Genomic DNA, 20836 nt, shown 5'->3' with positions numbered 1-20836 from the left:
TTTTGGTGAATGTTTTAATGAACTACAATATGTTAGGGTGATGGAATAACATGATCACTAAAGTGCAATTATAAGTGTAACTTATGGCAAAATTTTGTAACCAAATACAGAATGATATGTTTAGTGTAATTTCAACTGCATTAGAAAGGTAATATGCAGAAAATGAATTTTTAAATATTTTAAAGTTATAGGTAACAAACTTTTATTTCTTTATTACAATCTTTATGATACAATATATAATTTTTAAAATCAGTTGGCACACTTGACCTCCCTCTCTTCTCATCAGAATTAACCTCTCTGTGTCCTGTCCAATTATCTGATTGAACTCTCAGGAAATAGGGTGGGCCTCCCCAGAATGTGGGCTTTTAAGGATAGCTGCATTTATGTGACTGAATTAGGTCCCCAAGCATTTTTTGAGCTTTTACTGTGCCTGGGTGCATATAACTTGAAAGATATGGTACTTAGTATTTTATAGTTTGTAAATACATTCACATTATCAGCGATGAGTTCTACAGCTTTTAATAATGTCAAATATAAATGGTAGTTGTTTTTTTAAAACATTTTTTGAGTATCTACCATCTGCCAATGACTGAAATACAGAATTCCTTTAAGGAAGTCCTTGTCTGACAGGAAAGACAGACATCCATGGGCCTTTCATACAGCAAGATGAGTGTTGTAATCGTGTTGTAATGAGTGCAATGGGTTGTAGAGTGAATGGAGAAGCAGTTATTTCTTAAGAGGGCTGGTGAGATGAGATGACTGTTCTCTGGTAAGATAACTCTCGAACAGGACTTTAGAAGATGGGCAAGATTTTTGCAAGATGGATAGGAGAAAAGGGGAAAAGCATGAACAGAAAGGTAGAAGTGTAGAAATACATGATGTCTTCAGAAGCCACTAAAAGATTTTGGAGAGGGATATGACATGATTAGGTTTGTATTTGGAAAGAAAATTGAGATCAGTGATTATAACAAGGAAACACAAGAAAAGTTTTTTTTTTTTTTGCATGCTTTTCTATGTGACAATTTTGTGAGCATCCCCAGATTTTAAATTGTAACATAGATAGGACAGGCTTTACATTATGCACAGTTCTGGCCAGCCAACCATATGCCCTCTCATAGCTGTACATCAGAGTGTCCCTTCTAAAAGTCTGGGTGAACAGTGGGCTACAGGAATGAGGTCAGCTAAGAAGCCATTGCAGTGTTCCACATCACCACAGGAAGTGATGGCTTAATCAGGGCCATGATAACAGAAATGGATGGGAGGGAATATATTTGCCTATGTAGACTTGGTATCAGAGTTTTGTGGGGGTAGAGAGAAAAAGGAATTATACATCAGTGTTTCTCAGATTTTAATGTGCATGTGAATTGTCTAGGGATTTTGTTAAAAGGTAGATTTTGATTCAATAGGTCTGGCAGTGGGGCCTCAGATTCTGCTCCCAAGTGATGCCAACACTGTTAGGCCATGGTCCAGTGAATAATTAACAAGGACGAGATAACGTGGGTGTGAGACTCCGCTGGCTAGATGGTGATGTCATTATCTGAAATACCTGAAATGGGGAATACCAGAGAAAAGAAAGCTTGGGCAGGGGGATGGGGTGAAGTTTTTGTGGGACATTCAGGTATAAAAATTGTAGACAGCTGAAAGTTTGGATTCTAAGCTTGAGAGAAAAATCAAGCATAGAGACACAAATTTGGGAATAAGCATTTCGTTGCCGACATAAAAGTCATGAGAATGAGTGACATTACCTACAAAAAAGAGATAAAGTTAATATTAGAAAATATACCTATTCCTTCATCATTCAAAGGCCTCATCTTCTAAAAAGACAAATAAAGAAAATATACCTATTTGCTAAAATTTTAATGTCCATTTAAGTGACTATAAACCAGCAATGGGAAAGAAATTGGATAGGTAGCTTCCTCCCTATGAACAATCTCTAGGTGTAAATTGAGGGGAGGAGAAGTCTTCTTTGGAAACCCCCCCTTTTCCTTGGTAATGACCATAGATCAAGTTAAAAACGATTAAAGTATCTTATGAGAAATCATTCATATAAATAAATATGTGTAAAGAATCGTCAAAATGCCAGGCAGTCTTCTGACCTTAACATTAATAGCAAATGAAATGAATCCCTGAAACAGTGGAGCTTATGGGGGAGATTGACAAATGCTGTGTTAGGAAAGTATAGTGTCATGTGAGAGCACACACATCAGGAACACATGACTCAGTGTGGAGACAAGGGATGGCCTTCCTGAGGAAGTAGCATTAAGCTGAGACCAGAAGGCTGAGTGGTGGTGACCTACAAGAAGAAGAAGGGAAGGTCATAACAGTAATGACTTGGAGTGGAGAGGCCCTGCAGGTTGGAGAAGTTCAGTGTGGCTCACCATGGAGTGTCAGAGTGAGGGAGATGACTGCTGAGCTCCGAGAGGTGAACAGAGCCCCTGGTGAGGCCCACTCCTCTGGGACTTAGTAGAGAGAAGAGGGAGAAAATGATGTATTTTCCCAAGGAAAAACTGTTATTCTACTTTGGTATAGTTCAAACAACAGTCTTATGCATATGGTTTTACAAGGCTTTTATGGACTGGCCTAGTAATGACATGACTCATAGTAATGTTGTTTCTATAGGAAAAATGTTTTGGGCTTCAAAAGCTGTCTTACAATTTAACTTTCAGATTTTTTTTTTTCCATTTGGGAACCGCTTGGATAAGAGCACAATTCTAGTGTTTTTTGTTATTTCTGTTAAAAGTGTGCTTTCTCTGGTATGTATCTATGTGGCTACAGTGTTGATTTTCCGTCTTCTGATATGAATCAAAGCTATCATTGCACAGATGCAGTTGAAATGTTGTTTTATTTTCTTGACCAGATTCAGAAAGTGTATGGAAATAGAGAAATCTTTTTATAAATTGTTTAGTTTTCAAAGTGTTTGTTCTTCAAAGTTAAGGATTCCCTCTGTAAACTATATCATGGTATACTGTGTTATATACCATGAAAGTATGAAAAATGAAACTGCCATGAAAATTGTTATAAACAGAAAGTAAAAGAGATCGGTGTGTTTTCACTATTGAAGTCAAATAGAATGCAGAAGGTAAACAATAAAGGATAAAATACCTAGCTTTAAAAATACTTTAATAACCATGAGCTTATGATCATAATCGTCTTCATTACTAGCTATTGTTATCATTAGTAATACTTGATTTTTTTTTTTTTTTTTTTTTTTTTTTTTTTTTTTTTTTTTTTTTTTGAGACAGTCTCTCTCTGTCACCCAGGCTGGAGTGCAGGGGCGTGATCTCGGCTCACTGCAAGCTCCGCCTCTCGGGTTCACGCCATTCTCCTGCCTCAGCCTCCTGAGTAGCTGGGACTACAGGGGCCCGCCACCATGCCCGGCTAATTTTTTGTATTTTTCTTAGTAGAGACGGGGTTTCACTGTGTTAGCCAGGATGGTCTCAAACTCCTGACCTCATGATCCACCCGCCTCGGCCTCCCAAAGTGCTAGGATTACAGGCATGAGCCACTGCGCCCAGCCAATACTTGATATTTTAAAGCAAGAAACAGCAGCTGTTAAGGTCACTCCCTTTGTAAAATGGATCTATATGAGTTTCATTTTCTTTAATAAATGAAACTTTAGGCTGAAACTCTCAAATTCCCTTATCTCCAACATGCAAAGTTAATTTCATCCACATCTGTCTTGTGAAAGTATCTTTCTTTCTATATCAGTTAGAATGCTTTCAGCTGGTAAGTGACAGAGACCCAACTGAAAGTATCGTATGTAATAACTGCATTTTATTGTCTCATATAACTAGAAATCTGGAAGAAAGATAGTTTTTTTGTTGGCTTATATAGCAGCTAACTCTTATCATCAGACTCTCTGGCTCTGTCTTTTCATTCTACCATCCTGATAAGTTGGCTTTTGTCTTCAGACTTTTCCCCTCCTCATCTCAAGATGGCAGCTTTAACTCCAAGAATGACATACTCATATCAAAGCACCCATGACTGTAAGAAAAGAAGGTGTCTCTCTTATGTCTTTTTTTAAAATGAAGAAAACTTTCTTAGAAGCCTCCTAGAAAACATGACCTCATTAGCTAAAATTGCATCCTATACCCGTTTCTAAGCCAGTCAGTGGTGAGGGGTACGGAAGTCCTGTGTTTGGCTTAGACTAGTCAAGATTCATGGCCCTTCACTCCTCCCAAGGTAAAAAAAAAAAAAAAATAGGATTTTGTTATTCAGAAAGAAGGGAAGACTAGGTAGGCAACCACTAGTGTCTGCCGTATCTTCCAAGGCCAATTTATTTGCCTAGAGCTTTAATTCCTTTCTGCCTCTTAGAAGACTTTGTTAATAATTTCTTTTTGCGTTCATTTTCAGTCTTCTCATTCTTTTTCTTCAGGCTTATTGAAAGAAGAGTCTGCATATGCTGCCTTCATTTTTTTCCCCTCCCATTTATTCCTTAAATTCCTTGCAATCTGGATTTTGTTCCTCCTAATAAGAACCTTCCTTTCTATCAACAGCAATAACCACCTGATTCCCAAATCCTTTGCCAGTGTCTTTGTTTTCTGGATTTTCCATTCTCTGTTTCATTTGTTTGTACATTATTCTTTATTATTTCCTTCCGTCTGCTTGCTTAGGTTTAGTTTGCTTTTCTTTTTGTAGGTTCTGTCTTAAGGTGGAAGATTAGATTATCCACTTGAGATCTTTCTTTTTTAATATAGGCATTTATAGCTACAAATGTCTTTCTGGGTATTATTTTCTTTAGCTGTATCCAATAAATTTTGGTATGTTGAGTTTTAGTTCTCACTAATCTCAAGGTATTTTCTAATTTTCTCTCTGATTTCTTTGACCCATTGGTTATTTAGGAGTGTGGTTCCCTCCCATCTTTGTGAATTTCCTAAAATTCCTTCTGTTACTGATTTGTATTCTAATTGCATGCCATTGTTTCAGAGAACATTCTTTGTGTGATTAATCTCTTTAAATTATTGAAGGTTGTTTATGGCCTAGCATGTGGTCTCTTTTGGAAAATGTTTCATGTGCACTTAATAATGCATATTGCCTTGTTGAGTGGAGTGTTATATAGTTGTCTGTAGGTCTGGCTGTCTTACAGTGTTGTTCAAATCTTCTGTATTCTTGTTGATTTTCTTCCTGGTGGTTTTATCTAGTATTGAAAGAGGGAAGTCTCCAATTATTATTTTTCAATTGTGTATCCCTTCAACTGTCTTTTCTTCCTTCTCTTGTTAAGTGCATATATGCTTCTAATTGTTATACCTTCCTGATGGATTGACCCTTCTGTCATTATGAAGTGTTTCTCTTTATTTCTAGTATTATATTCTTGCTTTAAAATGTATTTTGCCTGATTCTTTTATGTTTACTGTTTGTATGGTATAGCTTTTACTTTCAACCTATTTGTATGATTGAACCTAAAATGTGTCTTCTGTAGATTTTATATAGTTGGGATCTTTGTTCTTTTTCTTTTATAAAAATACAGCCTGATAATCTTTCTTTTGATTAGATTGCTTCATCTGTTCACATTTAATGTGATTACTGATATAGTTGGATTTTTGTCTGCAGTTACGAATTTTGTTTTCTATAGGTCTCAGGTCTTTTTTGTTCTTTCCTTTCTTGCCTTCTTTTGAATTAAGTAGATATATTGTAGTGTGATGCTTTAATTCCTTTGCTACTTTTAAAAATATATATTTTGAGTTATTTTCTTAGTGGTTGCTCCAGGGTTTACAGTGTACATCCCGATTTATAAGAATTTCACTTCTGATTTATACTTACTTTCAGCAAAATAGACTTCCTCTGTTAGCTCCATTTCCTTCCCCAACTTTTTCTGCTATTATTGATGTACCTATTATGTCAAACCCAACAACACACTGTTGTAATTTTTACTTTATGTCTTTTGAAGAAGCTGAGACAAGGGAGAGCAAGTACGTATTTATAGTTAGTTGTATTGACCTCTCTATTTTTTATTTTCTTTACATATTTCTGCATATTTGAGTTAGCTCTGGGGTCATTTTCTTACTCCCGAAGAACTTTGTTCTCACCTGCTTCTTTTGTGCTGTTATTGTCTAAATGTATAGCAGTAAATGTTGTTAGCCCAATAATTAAATTATAGCTACAGTGTTTTATTGAATTATTCTTTAAATCAGTTAAGAGAAGAAAGGGGAAGAAATATGCAATTACAGTGTCTTTTGCAATAATGTACGTAATTTCCTTTACTGGCATGCTTTGTTTTTTGGGGCTTCCAATTACTGTTTGGTGTTACTTGCTTTTAGCCTGAAGAATTTCCTTTAGTATTTCTTGTGAAACAGATATTCTAGCAACAAATTTTCTGTCTTTATTTTTCTGGGGATGCCTTAATTTGACCTTTATTTTAAAAACACAGTATTGCTGGATATTAGAGTCATAATTCACAGTATTTTACTTTAGTACTTTGAATATTTAATTCCATTGCTTTCTGGCCTCCCTTGTTTCTAATGAGAAGTCAGCTGTTAATCGTATTGGGGGCTGCTTTGTACTTGTCTGGTCATTTTGCTCTTGCTGCTTTCAAGATTTTCTCCTTGTCTTTGGCTCTCAAGATTTTGCCTGTAATGTGTCTGGAAGTATATCTCTTTGTATTTATCCTATTTAGAATTTGTTGAGCTCCTTGGGGGATGTGTAGATTCATATTTCTTTTTCTTTTATCAAATTTGGAAAGATTTCAACCATTATTTATTTATTTTTTGTTCTTTTTCATTCATTTTTTTTTTTCCTCTCTCTGAGATAGGGTCTCACTCTCTCACCCAGGCTGGAGTATAGTGGCATGATCTCAGCTCACTGCAGGCTCTACCTCACTGCAGGCTTAAGCAGTCCTCCCACCTCAGCCTCCTGAGTAGCTGGAACTACAGGTGTGTTTCACCCTGCCTGGTTAATTTTTAATATTTTTTATAGAGACAGGGTCTCACCATGTTTCCTAGGCTGGTATCAAATTCCTGGGCTCAAGCAATCCTCCCACCTCGGCCTCCCAAGATGCTGGAGGTACAGATGTGAGCCGCCATGCCTAGCCTCATTATTTCTTTAAGTATTATTTCTGCCTCTTTTTTCTCCTAATGGCATCTGTTTTAGTCCATTTTCTGTTACTGTAACAGAATACCAAAGACCAATACCAATAAGGAAAAGAAATTTATTTCTTATGGTTCTGGAAGCTGAGAAGTCCAAGAGCATGGTGCGAGCCTCTGGTGAGGGCCTTCTTGCTGGTGGGAATTCTCTACAGAGTCCCAAGGTGGCACAGAGCATCACATGCTGAGAGGGCACATGAGTGAGAACAAAACTGGATTTTATAAACAGATGCACTCTTGTGATAGCTAGCCTACCTGCGTGATAACCCATTAATCCAGTAACTTATTAATCTACTAATCCATTCATGAGAGCAGAACCCTCATGACCCAGTCACCTCTTAAAAGTACTACTTCTCAATACTTCTGCATTCAGGACCAAGTTTCCAATACGGTGAACCTTTGGAGAACACATTTAAACCATAGCATTCCACCCTGGGCACCCAAAATTTATGTCCTTCTGGTGTTTAAGAATACATTCATTCCATCCCAGTAGCTCCAGAGTCTTCATTCATTCTATCATGCATTCAAAAGCCCAAAGTTCCAAGTCTCATGTAAATCAGATTTGAGTGAGACACATGGTGTTATTTGCCTTCAGGCAGATTCTTTTCAGCTGTGAGCCTGTTAAATCAAATAAGTTACCTACTTCCAAAATATAGTGGTGGAGCAGGCGTAGGACAGACATTGCCATTCCAAAAGGGAGGAACAGGAAAAAATTAAGGAGTAACAGATCCCATGTAAAACGAAAACCCAACAAGGAAAACAGCATTACATCTTACAGCTGGAGAATAATCTCCTTTGACTCCATGTCCTGCATCATGGGCACACGGGTGCAGGGTTGGGCCTCCAAGGCCTCAAGTGGTTCCACCCCGTGGCTTTACTATGCTCAGTCCATATGTCAGCCCTTGTAGGTTACAGTTGGGTGCCTGTGGCTTTCGCAGGTTGGACCTGCATGCTGGTGGTATAGTTCTGGGATCTCAGCAGCATTCCTGCTCCCACAGCTCCATTAGGCATTACTTTAGTGGGGACTCTGCTGCGGCCTTGCTTCTGGCTGCACTAGGCATTGCCCTACGAGGGGCTCTCAGCAATGAGTCTACCCTTGTTGACAAGTCTCTGCCAGGGCACCAGTCTTTTTGGTATATCCTTTGAAATCTAGGTGAAACTACCATAGCCCCACTTCTGTTACATTCTGTACAGCTGCAGAATTAGCACCTTGTGGATGCCACCAAAATTTATAGCTTGTGCCTTCCAGAGTGGTGAGTTGAGCCACACTTGCTGCTACTTGGGTCATGACTGGGGCAGCCACAGAGCATTGCTGTGGGGTGCAGGGAGCAGAGTCCTGAGGCAGTCCTGGACAGCGGGCTGTGCAGAATGCCATGGATGCCATGGGCTCCCACAAAACCATTCTGCACTCCTAGGCCTCTGGGCCTCTGATGGGAGGAGCAGCTTTGAAGATGTGTGAAATGCCTTTTGGAGTCTTTCTCTAATTGTCCTGATGAATAGCCTCTGGGTCCCTTGTATCAATATGAATCTCTTTAGCAAATGGTTGCTAGGCCACATTCTTGGTTTCCTTTCCTAAACAAGCTTTTTAAATTCTACATAGCCAGCCTGAGGAGAGTTTTCCAAATCTTTCCACTTTGCTTTTCATTTGATTATAAATTCTGTCTTTGTCATCCCTTTGCTCCCAAATCTCACTGTAAGTAGCAAAAAGTAACCACACAGTATCTTGAATGTTTTGCTGCTAGAAATTTCTTCCACTCGATATGCTAGTTCATCACTCTCAAGTCCAGCATTCCACAAACCCCTAGGGCATGGACATAGCCTTGAGGCGTGTCAGGCTGTTTGCTGCTTTGTGACAAGTGTGGCCTTTATTCCAAGTTCTAGTACCTTGCTCCTCATTTCCATCTGAGGCCTCTTCAGAATGACCTTTACATATTTCTATCAACATTCTGGTCATGAGCACTTAAGTAATCTCTAAGAAGATTCAGGCTGGGCACGGTGGCTCACGCCTGTAATCCCTGCACTGTGGGAGGCCAAGGCAGGCAGATCACCTGAGGTTTGGTGTTTGAGACCAGCCTGGCCAACATGGCAGAACCCCTCCTCTAATAAAAATACAAAAATTAGTGGGGCTTGGTGGCGCATGCCTGTAATCCCAGCTACTTGGGAGGCTGAGGCAGGAGAATCACTTGAACCTGGAAGGTAGAGGTTGCAGTGAGCTGAGATTGCACCATTGCACTCCAACTTGGGCGACAGAGCAAGACTGTCTTAAAAAAAAAAAAAAAAGAAGATTCAGAGTTTCTCTAGTCATCTTCAGAACCTTCACCAGAATCACCCTTAATGCTCCATTTATGGCAATGCAGGTTTTTTTCTATCCAGCTCCTCCACAGTCTTCCAGCTTCTACCCGTTACCCAGTTCCAAAGCCACTTCTTCATTTTCAGATATTATAGCAAAAATCCTACGTCTTGGTACCAATTTTATGTCTCAGTCTGTTTCTGTTGCTATAACAGAATACCAAAAAATAAATTTATTTCTTACAGTGTATAGGCTGGGAAGTCCAAGAGTAAGGTACTAACATCTGGCAAGGGTCTTGCAGATGGCAAGAAGTTTGTTTTGCCCCATGTTCAGCCATAGATTAGTAGCTTGGATTATTCATTCCCAGTCACTCCTGAGCGAAGCAAGCCTTGAGCATGCCCACAGTCTAGTAAACTGCCAGGGATACTTTCATATTAAAGCCTGGCTTCCTAGGAGTTGATCTTGGGGCAGAAGAGCTTATTGTTCAGCCACTGTTTGATCAGAGGTTATACTTCAGCCCCCGAGTGACAGTGAAGCTTCCTTTTTTAATTGATCTGTGTGGCTTGTGCCCATATCAAGCTCTGATTGCTCAAGTGGATGCAGCCTCCCACTTGGGCACAGCCTTCCTGACCTCTGTGTTTACTGTGAGCTGGCTGTCTCTTTTTCTAGTTCTGTTAAACTTCTGATAGTCCTAATTTGTTGGTTGCTGCTTGTATCCTGGGGCCATGAGCACCTTCTTAACTATGTCAATTCCCTCAGACAGAGCAGAGGAACTTTTTGTCCTTAAGGGCTGCTGTCTCCAGTCTGCATCTCCCCACAGGTAGAACCTTGCACCACTGCACAGAAACTGGGGGCAGGAATAGTGACTCACTTCTTCCAGAGTGACACCCCTGCTATAAAAGGGTGTTGGGAGCATGGGCATTAGCCACTTGTCTTCTTGGCTTGCCCCTATGGATATGGAACCTTTGCCCCACCAGCAAGTTGATCCAGGAGTGATAGAAGCCCAGTGTTTTCAGCCTGCTGCACCTAGAGTAGAACTTTTGCCCCACAAATGAGGGCTGGCTAGAGTAAGGAAGCCCTGGCCCTCTCAGCTGTGCCTCTACAGAATAGAAACTCTACCATAGAGGGCTAGGGAAAATGAACAGTGCCAGTGGCTTGTTCTACCAGGGTGAAAATGCAGCCCCAGCTTGGGAGCTGAGGGGAAAAGGAGCCCCCATATTCTTGACCGGACCTTCTGGACTAGAGCTCTCGAGTAAGTAAAACAGACTAAGACATAAGTCAGAGCTTGGAGGTGCAGGGGAGGTAAGGTGGGAGCAGGTCATGGCTCAAATGCCACTGACAGGCTCTTACCAAGATTTAGAATATTTTCTTGAATGCATGTTTCTCCATTTATTATATACTCTTCAAACAATTTCCAGTTTAAGTGGTTGTTTTAAACAATTTTTTTTCCAGTTAAATTGTTTTTGTTGGGGAGAAATTCTATGGCACTCTTCATTCCTCCATTCTGGAAGTTGTCTCTTGGTTTTGCTCATTAAAAAAAAAAAGATATATCTTCAATCTCTCTTAATCTATACAGGTTACTTTATAGATTCTTAATCTTTACGTTCCTTCTCCATCCCTTTAAGTTTCATACAGTTTACCTGTTGAAGAACCTGGGAGGTTTGATCTGTAGAATTTCCCACATTCTGGATTTTAATGTGTGCGTATTTGTGGTGTAGATCCACACGTTTCTCTGACCTCTATAATTCCTATAAATTGGCAGCTGTCCATGAACTGGATCAGACTCAGATTTGATTCCTTTGGCAGTTCTATACATAGAATTTAATGAAGTTTAGGATACCTCTGAATCACCTGGTGGGCTTGTAATAATAAAATGCAGATTACTGGGTCCTATGCCCAAACCTTCTGATTCAGGAGATTGGAGGTTGGACCTGAGGGTTTGTATTTCTGGCAAGTATCTGAGTGAGGCTGAGGCTGCTGGTCTGGATAACCTACTGTCAATGTTTGGTTGCATCTTTTTTTGTGATCTTAGCAGCCATTTATGCATATTATTTGTATCTATTTGTTCATTAAGGTTTGAAAAATAGTAACATTCTAATTCTTTTTATTTTTTTCATTTATTCATTGGAATATTTTTATAAAGAGATACATGTCCTTATTTCTTATTCAGTTACCCAGAGTTCTCAAAAGACAGGTAACATAAATTCTTGATTTTTTCCCTTTGATATATTTCTTAAGATAATGAATTGGTTCTCTATCATCTCTTAAAGGTGACCAGTTTTTTAAGAATATTATTATGAACTTTTAGAATTTAACGTATTAGTTAATTCATTTCAAGTATTACCATCACTGAAGCTCAAATTATTCCATCTTTGGCCAATGGAAGCCTCTTAAACTTAGCTCCTGAGTCCTAGATTCAGCTATTTCTCTTAGAAGCCCTACTGTTTAAGGGGTGATCATGTTTTCTCTCAGCCCTTTCTGTAGACAGAGATCAGAAGTATGTGCACATATTGAAGATAAAATAAAAATATTTCATAAGTTTATATTGGTGTTTCCAATTCAAACTTGAGACTATGGTGGAGATGATAGTGTGTTTAAATCTTCTTTCTGTATCTCTTTCCTCTGTTTTCAAGGATATGAGTGCTTATAGAACTGGAAAGTCCTACAATTATGTATTTTCATCCTATAGTGCACACACAACAGTCTCAGAATGACAACACCACAATACTACTCAAAACATTAAAATCCATATTTTTGCATACATTCTCGCCCCCTTAATCACATTTAGGACTGGAGATGTCTTCTGAGACTTTAGTTTATTCAGCAACCATTTAGAGCATCTTCTCTGTCTCACACTCACTGCTAGAAAGGGGATACAAAGAGATGTAAGATATGTCCCTGTTCTCTGAAAGCTAAGGGTCAGGGTTATTGGGTTATGTATCATTCTGGTATAGGAAGATGTGGCCATAGAATCTGGGATTCTGTTCTTCTTTAAAAGAAGTTAATGCTAATGTTAATTCTTCTTTACTTGCATGTTTCTTAAAATAAAACCCTTTCTCTCTACTCTTATCAGGGAGCAGCTTCCTTTTGGTGGAGCTCCTTAAATACTTTCTAATCTCCCTTACGTAGTATATTATTAGTCAGGGTTCTCCAGAGAAACAGAGAGAGAACAAGAGAAAGATATAGAGTTTATTTTAAGGAATTGGCTCACAGGATTTTGGGAGTTGGCAAATCAAACATGTAGAATACAGCAGCAGGCTATATACTTAAGTAAGAGTTGGTAATGGTCTTGAGTGTAAAAATTGCAAAATAGGCTAGTAGGCTGGAAACTCAGCATTTCTATGTTACCATCTTGATGTAGACTTGCCTCTTTTTCAGGTAACTTTTATCTTAGCTGTTGAGGCCTTCATCTGATTGAATAAGGCCCACCACAGTATGGAGTCTGCTTTATTTCAAGTCAACTAATTATAAATGTTAATTACATCCACAGAGACCTTCACACAACATCTAGATTAGTGTTATACCAAACAGCTGGCCATCATAACCTATCCAAAGTGACTCATAAAATTAACTGTCACATCTAGGTTAACTGTTTATTGCCAAAATTGATATTCTTTCTAAAAAACTGTAAACTTATATAATTTTATTGCTTGACTGACAAATTGGTTTCATCATATTGGCGAACCTATAAAATAGTCCTATTAAGAAATTATTTTAAAAATAAAGTTATTTCTAAAACATATTAACATATAGCTATATTCATTAAAGCAAAACTGTTTTAACATTAAAAATAGCGTAAATATAATTCTCAGTAAAAGCTTACATTATTTAGTTTCTTAGCTATAATTTGTACTAATATATTTATTAGGTACAATAATTATAATCTTGTTATCTCTCTCTTTCTCTGGAGAACCCTGACTAATAATATACTACATAAGGGAGATTAGAAAGTACTAAGGAGCTCCACAGAATACAGCTCTCTGTATTTTCCTGGAAAAAAAATTTTAAAAATACGGTTGTATTTTATCTTTAATTGCTTCATAAAATTGTAGTCTTTTTCAGGTTGCATTTTGTGATTGCTACATTTGAAATTATTGATTTTTTTCAAGTTACTGTTTTCTATATAAATTGTGATTTTTAAATTTGAGAATGTAATCTCTATGTCGATAATGAGGTACCTGGTAAGTTCAAAGCAAATTCTATTAAATTTTATTTTGTAATAGTTTAATATGTAAATATTCTAGCACATACATTTTCAAAGCTACTATTAAAAAAAACAGTAAACTCGATTTACAGCACCTTTATTCAATAAAATTTTTATGACAAACTTGTCAAATAAATTGTGTCTATTATGGAAATCTTTTAAACATCTTAACCAAATTTAGATGCTGCTAAATTGTAGGCATTCTCAAGTTCATTTTATTCTAGTACATAATATAAACTTATTTAAGTAAAAAAGTAAGTTCGCCATAAAAATTAAATCTTGAATAAAAGATTTCTGTCTTAGTTTGGGCTGCTCTCTCAAAATATGACATACTGGGTGGCTTAAACAACAATTCATTTCTCCCGGTTCGGAAGGCTGGAAAGTCAAAGATCAAGGCACCAGCAGATCAGTTTCTGGTGAGGGCCTGCTTCTTGGTTTGCAGACCTGGTTTGATCTTCTCATTATGTCCTCACATGGCCCTTCCTGGGTGTGTGCACTTGGATGGGGGGTGGTGGGTGGGGAGAGAGAGAGAGATCTGTTTCTTTTTATAACAGCATTAATCTCATCAGGAGGGCCCCACCAACATGACCTAATCTAACGCTAATTAAAGGCACTACCTCTGAATACCATCACATTGGGTATTAGGGCTTCAGCATAAGAATTTAAGGTGACACAAACGTTTAGTCCATAGCTATTTTCAACTGACTTTGAATGTAATGTTTGAATGAAAATCATCCGTTATGTTGATGATTTTGCAAAGTCTAAGCCTCAAAGAATTCTAAGATAGATAACAAAAAGAAAACATGGACTATCATGCTGGAATTTTTTTTTTTTAATTCAGCATCAGCTTTGTCACAAATATTTTAGTTTTTTTTTTTTTTTTGAGACAGGGGTGTACTCTGTTGCCCAGGCTGAAGTGCAATGGTGTGATCACAGCTTACTTCAGCCTTGACCACCCAAGCTCAAGCAATCCTCCCATCTCGTCCTCCCAAAATGTTGGGATTGCAGGTGTGAGCCACCACACCCAGCCTTAGTTCAATTTTTTTAACCCTGTGTGTGTGTATAAACGTTTGTAAATTTTAATTGGTAGAATGTCACATCTTTTGTGGATTCAGTTGTAAAATATGTTTCCCCCAATTTTGATTGGTAATATATTGCAGTTTTGGGCACAGCTGTGAATTATATGTGAACCACAGCCAAGTCCAAGTTTATTTCTGTTTCACCATTTTTTAAATTTAGTAAGAACATTGTTCTTTCTATGATGCTGTACTCAACCAAGGTTTGTAATTGTGTTATCACTGTAAAAACAAATAGAATTGACCCTTATTATTCACAGATTTTGTTTTCATGAATTCGTCTGCTTACTACAGATTGAGCATCTCTGATCTAAAATCAGAAATGCTCTAAAATCCTAAACTTTTTGAGTGCCAACATGATGCTCAACACAATCCTCAAGGGTCATGCGCAAATGAAATACTCATGGGAGCATTTTGGATTTCAGATTTTTGGATTAGGGATACTCAATAAGTATATAATGCAAATGTTTCAAAATTTTTAAAAACTCTGAATTCAAAACACTTCCGACCCCAAACATTTCAGGGTAAGGGATACTGAACCTATAAAATTTATTTGTAACTGCAAAATCAATACTCATGACACTAGGCATTCAACTGAGTGCATGACTGCAAATGGTACAGAATGGTGAAAAATTTGGATTGCTCAACACATTCCTAGTTGACAAGCTGATTTCCTTCAGCTCTCATACGGTAAACAAGTCTCCTTTTTGTGGTTTATATAGTGCCATGATTTTTGCTTTTTTAGGCTTATGATTTCTGTGTTTAAAATGACTACCCAGTGTGGAACTGAAGTGCTGTATATTGCGCCTAAGTGCAAGAAGGCTGTGATGTGCCTTAAGGAGAAAATGCATGTGATAGATAAACTTATAGTGCTGTTGGCTATGAGTTCAGTGTTAGTGACTCAACAGTGAACAGCCATACATTGCTTAACAACAGGGTTAAATTCTGAGAAATGTATCATTAGGTGATTTTGTCATTGTGAAAGTATCATAGAGTGTACTGATATGAATCTATAGCTTACTATACACGTAGGCTATTTGGTATAGCCTCTTGTTCCTGGGCTACAAACCTGTACAGTGTGTTACTATACTGAATTCGTAGGCAATTGTAACACAATAGTAAATATTTATTTATCTAAACATAGAAAATGTACAGTGAAAATATAGCTTGATAATCTTATGGGACCACCTCCATCATATATGCAGTCTGTTGTTGACTGACACATCATGCAGTGGATGACTATATATTAATAAGGTATCTTGAAACAGAAATATACATAAAATGAGGTTATGTTTGATCAGCTAATTAAAATGTAATCAGAGGCTCTCAGGAGCTCTCAGGAACCCAACCCTGAATTTCCCTTATGAGTAAACAGTTTGGTATTCCCTAATTCAGTGTTCATGGTGACTTCATAGAACTTAACTACTGTGAATAAGGAGAACCAACGGTAATTTTGTCTTTGTTGTTGAACTTCTAAACTGATTTTTAAGTAGCAATTAAAGCAATGTCAAGTGTTTCATATTCTACAGAATGAACTTCCAAAAGCTTTACTTTGGTTTCATGAATTAGATGAAATCATCAAACCATTATTGGAATTAACTGATTTTTCTGGTTGGTACATCTCCTGATGCTGACAGAAAGCTGGCAACATTTAACTGTGAGTTTTTCTGTTAATGGAGCCAACCAGTTTTCACTTTACTTTGATGATGTAAAAGAGACGCTTTAGAATCAGAACTAAGTGCATTTTTTTAAAAAGTCATTGGATCTAGATGAAAAGTCATGCTTTAGAGAATAATACGTAAAACACTTTCTCTGTCCTGTCTGCTTTCATTAAATCCGTGTCTTTAAGCTAGCCATGAGCAGGGAGCAGTATTCAGTATTTCTTCTACCTTCATTCAAGACTGGAGGAGTTAGCTGTCCCTACCTGCTCCTGCCTAGGTATACTTTTTCTGCATGGTGCCTGGGTGCTGTCTTTAAGAATGAAGTATCAGTTACAGTACATTTAGTACATTTAGAAATGGGTTACTGCTAGGTGTCTTAAAGATTTAAGCAAGTTGCGAAATTGACAACTGGCTTCATTGCACATGCATCTCACACATGGCTCAATGAGATTATGGCAGAGCCTAAAAGTACAAGTAAGTCTTAGCATATTTTAATGCTATCATTAAAAAAAATCATTAGAAAATGAAAAATCCAGGACAAATGGTAAATTTGTGGGACACTGGGACAATGGCCGTAAATTGGGACTGTCTCAGGCAAACTGACACACTTTACTAGACATGTGTCCTTTTAAAAATCTTCAAATCCCAAACTCTTGATTACTGTTTTCCTGTCAAAAAGGCTGCGCCCTGAATATGAATCACTTGTTTGTGACTGTTTACTAATTTCCACAGTATTATGCACATGGAAAAGAATGTGAAGCATTCTTCTTAGCCAGTTTTATTCATTGTGGCATTTCTTTTTTTCTGGAACATTTTCTATTTATCTTAAAACTTTTATTAAATTTTGCATGCTTTCATTTTTAAACTAAAGACATGTAATCAACTATGGAATTATTTTCTTCTACATTAGTTCTTTTATTATCTTAATAAAAATATACAGTAATTAAAAATGAAACTTGAAAAGAAGGCACCTTTTACATATATTTGATGAAAATGGATTATCTGAATATGATTATAATAATACTTTGTATTGTTACAGAATTAATTAAAAGGATTTACGGTATATCTTATGACTCTACAGGAGCCTTGGGATATAGGTAAGTGACAAGCATTTTTTGAAGAGAGATTTCTGAAACATTAAGTAATTTGATCTCATAGGTTCCTGGCAAAGTAGACAGTGGGGCATATCTTACTTCAGCAATTAACTCTTTTCTCTTCAGTATAACATTTGTAGAAATATCACATTTACATGAATCTTCATGTAACATTTCCCTAATAGCTAACAAATCATATTTCCCAGGGAATTTTAGGCTTATTTGTATAATAATTACAATGAAGATATTGTTTATAAGACATAGAAGTATGGCATGTAGCAAAATTTAGAGCATTAGAAAAAATAATTAAATGCAATATGGTACCCTGGGTTATACCTAGGAACTAAAGAAAGACAGTAGAAAAACAGGTGAAATATAAATGAAGTCTATAGTTAATAGTAATCAATTAGAAATTAATCAATGTTAATTTCTTAGTTTTGACAAATGTCCTGTGGTTATGTAAGATGTTTAACTTTATGGACAACTGGATGAAGGGTGTATAGGAAGTCTATACTATTTTTGTATCTATCTTGTAAATCTAAAATTATTTCAAAATAAGTTTACTTGAAGCACAAAAGTCAGTTTATTGATTCAAAATGTATAGTTTAGAAGTAGATTTTCTGGACCATGGTTTAAAAAAATAAAAAAAATAATTTGAAAAATCCAGATTACATAAAAACGATTCAAGGAAATACATGGCTATAGGTTTCATTTTTCAGTTTATAGGAAGTATGCAATTTTATTTTTTTAACATTGGTGATATGCTTTGGATTTGTGTCCCTGCCCAAATCTCATGTCAAATTGTAATTTCCAATGTTGGAGGAGGGGCCTGATGGGAGGTGATTGGATCATGAGGGCGAATTTCCTTCTTGCTGTTCTTGTGATAGTGAGTGAGTTCTCATGAGATCCGGTTGTTTAAAAGTGTGTAACACCTCCCCCTTCACACTATTCCTCTTCAGCCATGTAAGATGTACCTGCTTCCCCTTTGCCTTCCGCTGTGGTTGAAAGTTTCTTGAGGCCTCCCCAACCATGCTTCCTGTGCAGCTCGAGGAACCATGAACCAACTAAACCTCTTTTCTTTATAAATTACCCAGTCTCAGATAGTTCTTTATAACAGCGCAAGAAAGGACTGATACAATGGGCATGGTGTTTGCGGACATCTCCTCGTACTTGGTTACAGGCTTTCTCTTTGATACTTTAAGCCACTTGTGTTCTTTGGTCCTTTTGTGTAACTTTTTCTGTTATTCCAAGCAGGCCCTTTAAATGGTTCCCAGTACACTTCTTTTTCTTTTCTTTAGTGTATTGTTTAGAGAAAAAAGTCCAATAATGTGACTCAGTGGTTTGGGGTTGAGACCCTGTTAGTGTAGTTTTGTTCAGTCACACTACTTGAGCTTCTAGGTCAAGTAGTAGACATGGTAGATGTATTGTTAACAAGTACGAATAAAGATGAATATAATTCTTACATATCCATTTCTGTAATTGAGCTAAAATAATACAGAATCTATTGCTGTCAGATAATAGAAATTCTCAGTTTCTAAAATGGACTCTAGCATGATAACTATTTTAAATTTCTATAAATATTAAAAGACTTATAAGAAGGAAACTTTGTAGTTTGCTGAAACTCTTATGTAACTTTTCATTAATAAAAGTAAAGTAGCCATGCAGGTCTTGTAGATGGTTTCCTGCTTCTGCTGCCAAATTTAATGATTTTAGTTAAATTTCATAAAGGGAAATATAAATATATTATACTTAAAGGATATAGACACTTAAAACAACAGACCCATGCCTGAATAACTCTTGCAGAATAATTGTCCGGCTTGGAAATTTCTGTGTTGCTTGGTAGTCTTTAGCCAGAATTGGTGTTAACAGTCTCATGTTAATAGAATTATAGTTAAAGAATTATAATCTATTTTTTAGTTGTTTAACATGATTGTGCTAACCTTGGTTGGGAAGTTGAGAAAAAGACAGGATGGCCGGGCGCGGTGGCTGATGCCTATAATCTCAGCACTTTGTGAGACTGAGGCAGGTGGATCACGAGGTCAGGAGATCGAGACCATCCCGGCTAACATGGAGAAACCCCGTCTCTACTAAAAATACAAAAAATTAGCCAGGCGTGGTGGCAGGTGCCTGTAGTCCCAGCTACTCAGGAGGCTGAGGCAGGAGAATGGTGTGAACCCGGGAGGCGGAGTTCGCAGTGAGCCGAGATCGCGCCACTGTACTCCAGCCTGGGTGACAGCGCGAGACTCCATCTCAAAAATAAAAAAAAAAAAAAGAAAGAGAAAAAGGATGGTTTTCTCAGGCCAAGTTTAAATTACATTGATCATGTAATAGTTCACACAAAACAAGCAAACAAGAAAAACTTATTATTCTGTGCTAGAAGAGCATTAAAAGTATTGTTTTTAGGGACATGCTTACCATTCAGCTGATTGTAATTTGTGGTCATCAAAGTGTAAATAAGAATAGCTAGTATATATTGAACTTTTTTTTTTTTTTTGAGATGGAGTCTCGCTCTGTCACCCATGCTGGCGTGCAATGGCACAATCTCGGCTTGCTGCAACCTCCACCTCCCGGGTTCAAGTAATTCTCCTTCCTCAGCCTCCTGAGCAGCTGGGATTACAGGTGCACGCCACCAGCCCAGCTAATTTTTTTTGTATTTTTAGTAGAGACATGGTTTCACCATGTTGGTCAGGCTGGTCTCGAACTCCTGATCTCATGATCCCCCTGCCTCGGCCTCCCAAAGTGCTGGGATTACAGGTGTGAGCCATCACGCCCGGCCTGAACATTTTCTATGTACCAGGCACTTTACTTACATTATCTCATATAATCTTCATAATTACCTATGAGATAGGCTGGAATTCCCTTTACAGATGAGGCTGAGAGAGAAGAGCTGTCTCCAGTCTAATTCTGAGATGGGGAGGCGGACAGAACAAGTGCCTATTATGTACAGTACCTACTGTTTGTTCATGATATAAGCAGCTCCCAGGAAATGCTGTCATGTTTCCATAAACACGTAGTAAACTTCGGATTATTTCAGCTTTTCTAGGTAAGAATATCTGATCACACTGGGTGACCTAGAGTGGATTCTCCTGGGGTGAGCAGCCTGGAGTAAGGACTTGTGTTTCTTGTCTAGCTTTACTCTGGCTCATTCTGCAGTCCCCTAACATGTCAGTTGTTCTCTGTCACCTGATTAATTGCTGAACACTCATTCATTGTGTGCTTCGTTGATCATATGCCAAGAACTTTTGGCAGCTCTGGGGAACATGCTCTCCACGTGCCTCCTGGTAACTGTTGGACAACTAGAAGTTCCTAGCTGTTGTGAAAACTTTGATCCAGAAACTGCAACACATGCCAGAGACCAGGGATGGGGTAGTTGAACAGCTGACAGGTGAAATGTAGCTATTCAGATTGTTAGTTGGTCAGGAGTCAGAAATA

The 20836-nt window shown here is 37.6% G+C and overlaps 1 protein-coding gene across 54 annotated transcripts in view; it reads left to right on the top strand.

Moving 5' to 3' along the window:
- ZNF438 (zinc finger protein 438) overlaps positions 1–20836 on the top strand; it is a 187780-nt gene that overhangs the window by 30636 nt on the left and 136308 nt on the right. For 29 of the 54 annotated variants that reach the window (XM_047424729.1, XM_011519372.3, XM_047424746.1 and 26 more), the window contains exon 2: positions 17350–17407. The exons of 12 other annotated variants lie outside the window; for them this stretch is intronic. The gene's annotated coding sequence lies outside the window, so the exon portion shown is untranslated. Of the gene's footprint in view, positions 1–2255; positions 2439–10292; positions 10622–17349; positions 17408–20836 lie in introns of those variants that run through there. 13 more of the 54 variants (XM_017015869.3, NM_001387405.1, NM_001143769.2 and 10 more) reach the window with 3 other exon arrangements.

The sequence above is a fragment of the Homo sapiens genome, chromosome 10 (assembly GCF_000001405.40).
Source record: "Homo sapiens chromosome 10, GRCh38.p14 Primary Assembly".
Lineage (NCBI taxonomy): Eukaryota > Metazoa > Chordata > Mammalia > Primates > Hominidae > Homo > Homo sapiens.
The sequence above is the reverse complement of the archived record's forward strand: the minus strand, read 5'-3'. Positions and strand labels throughout refer to the sequence as shown.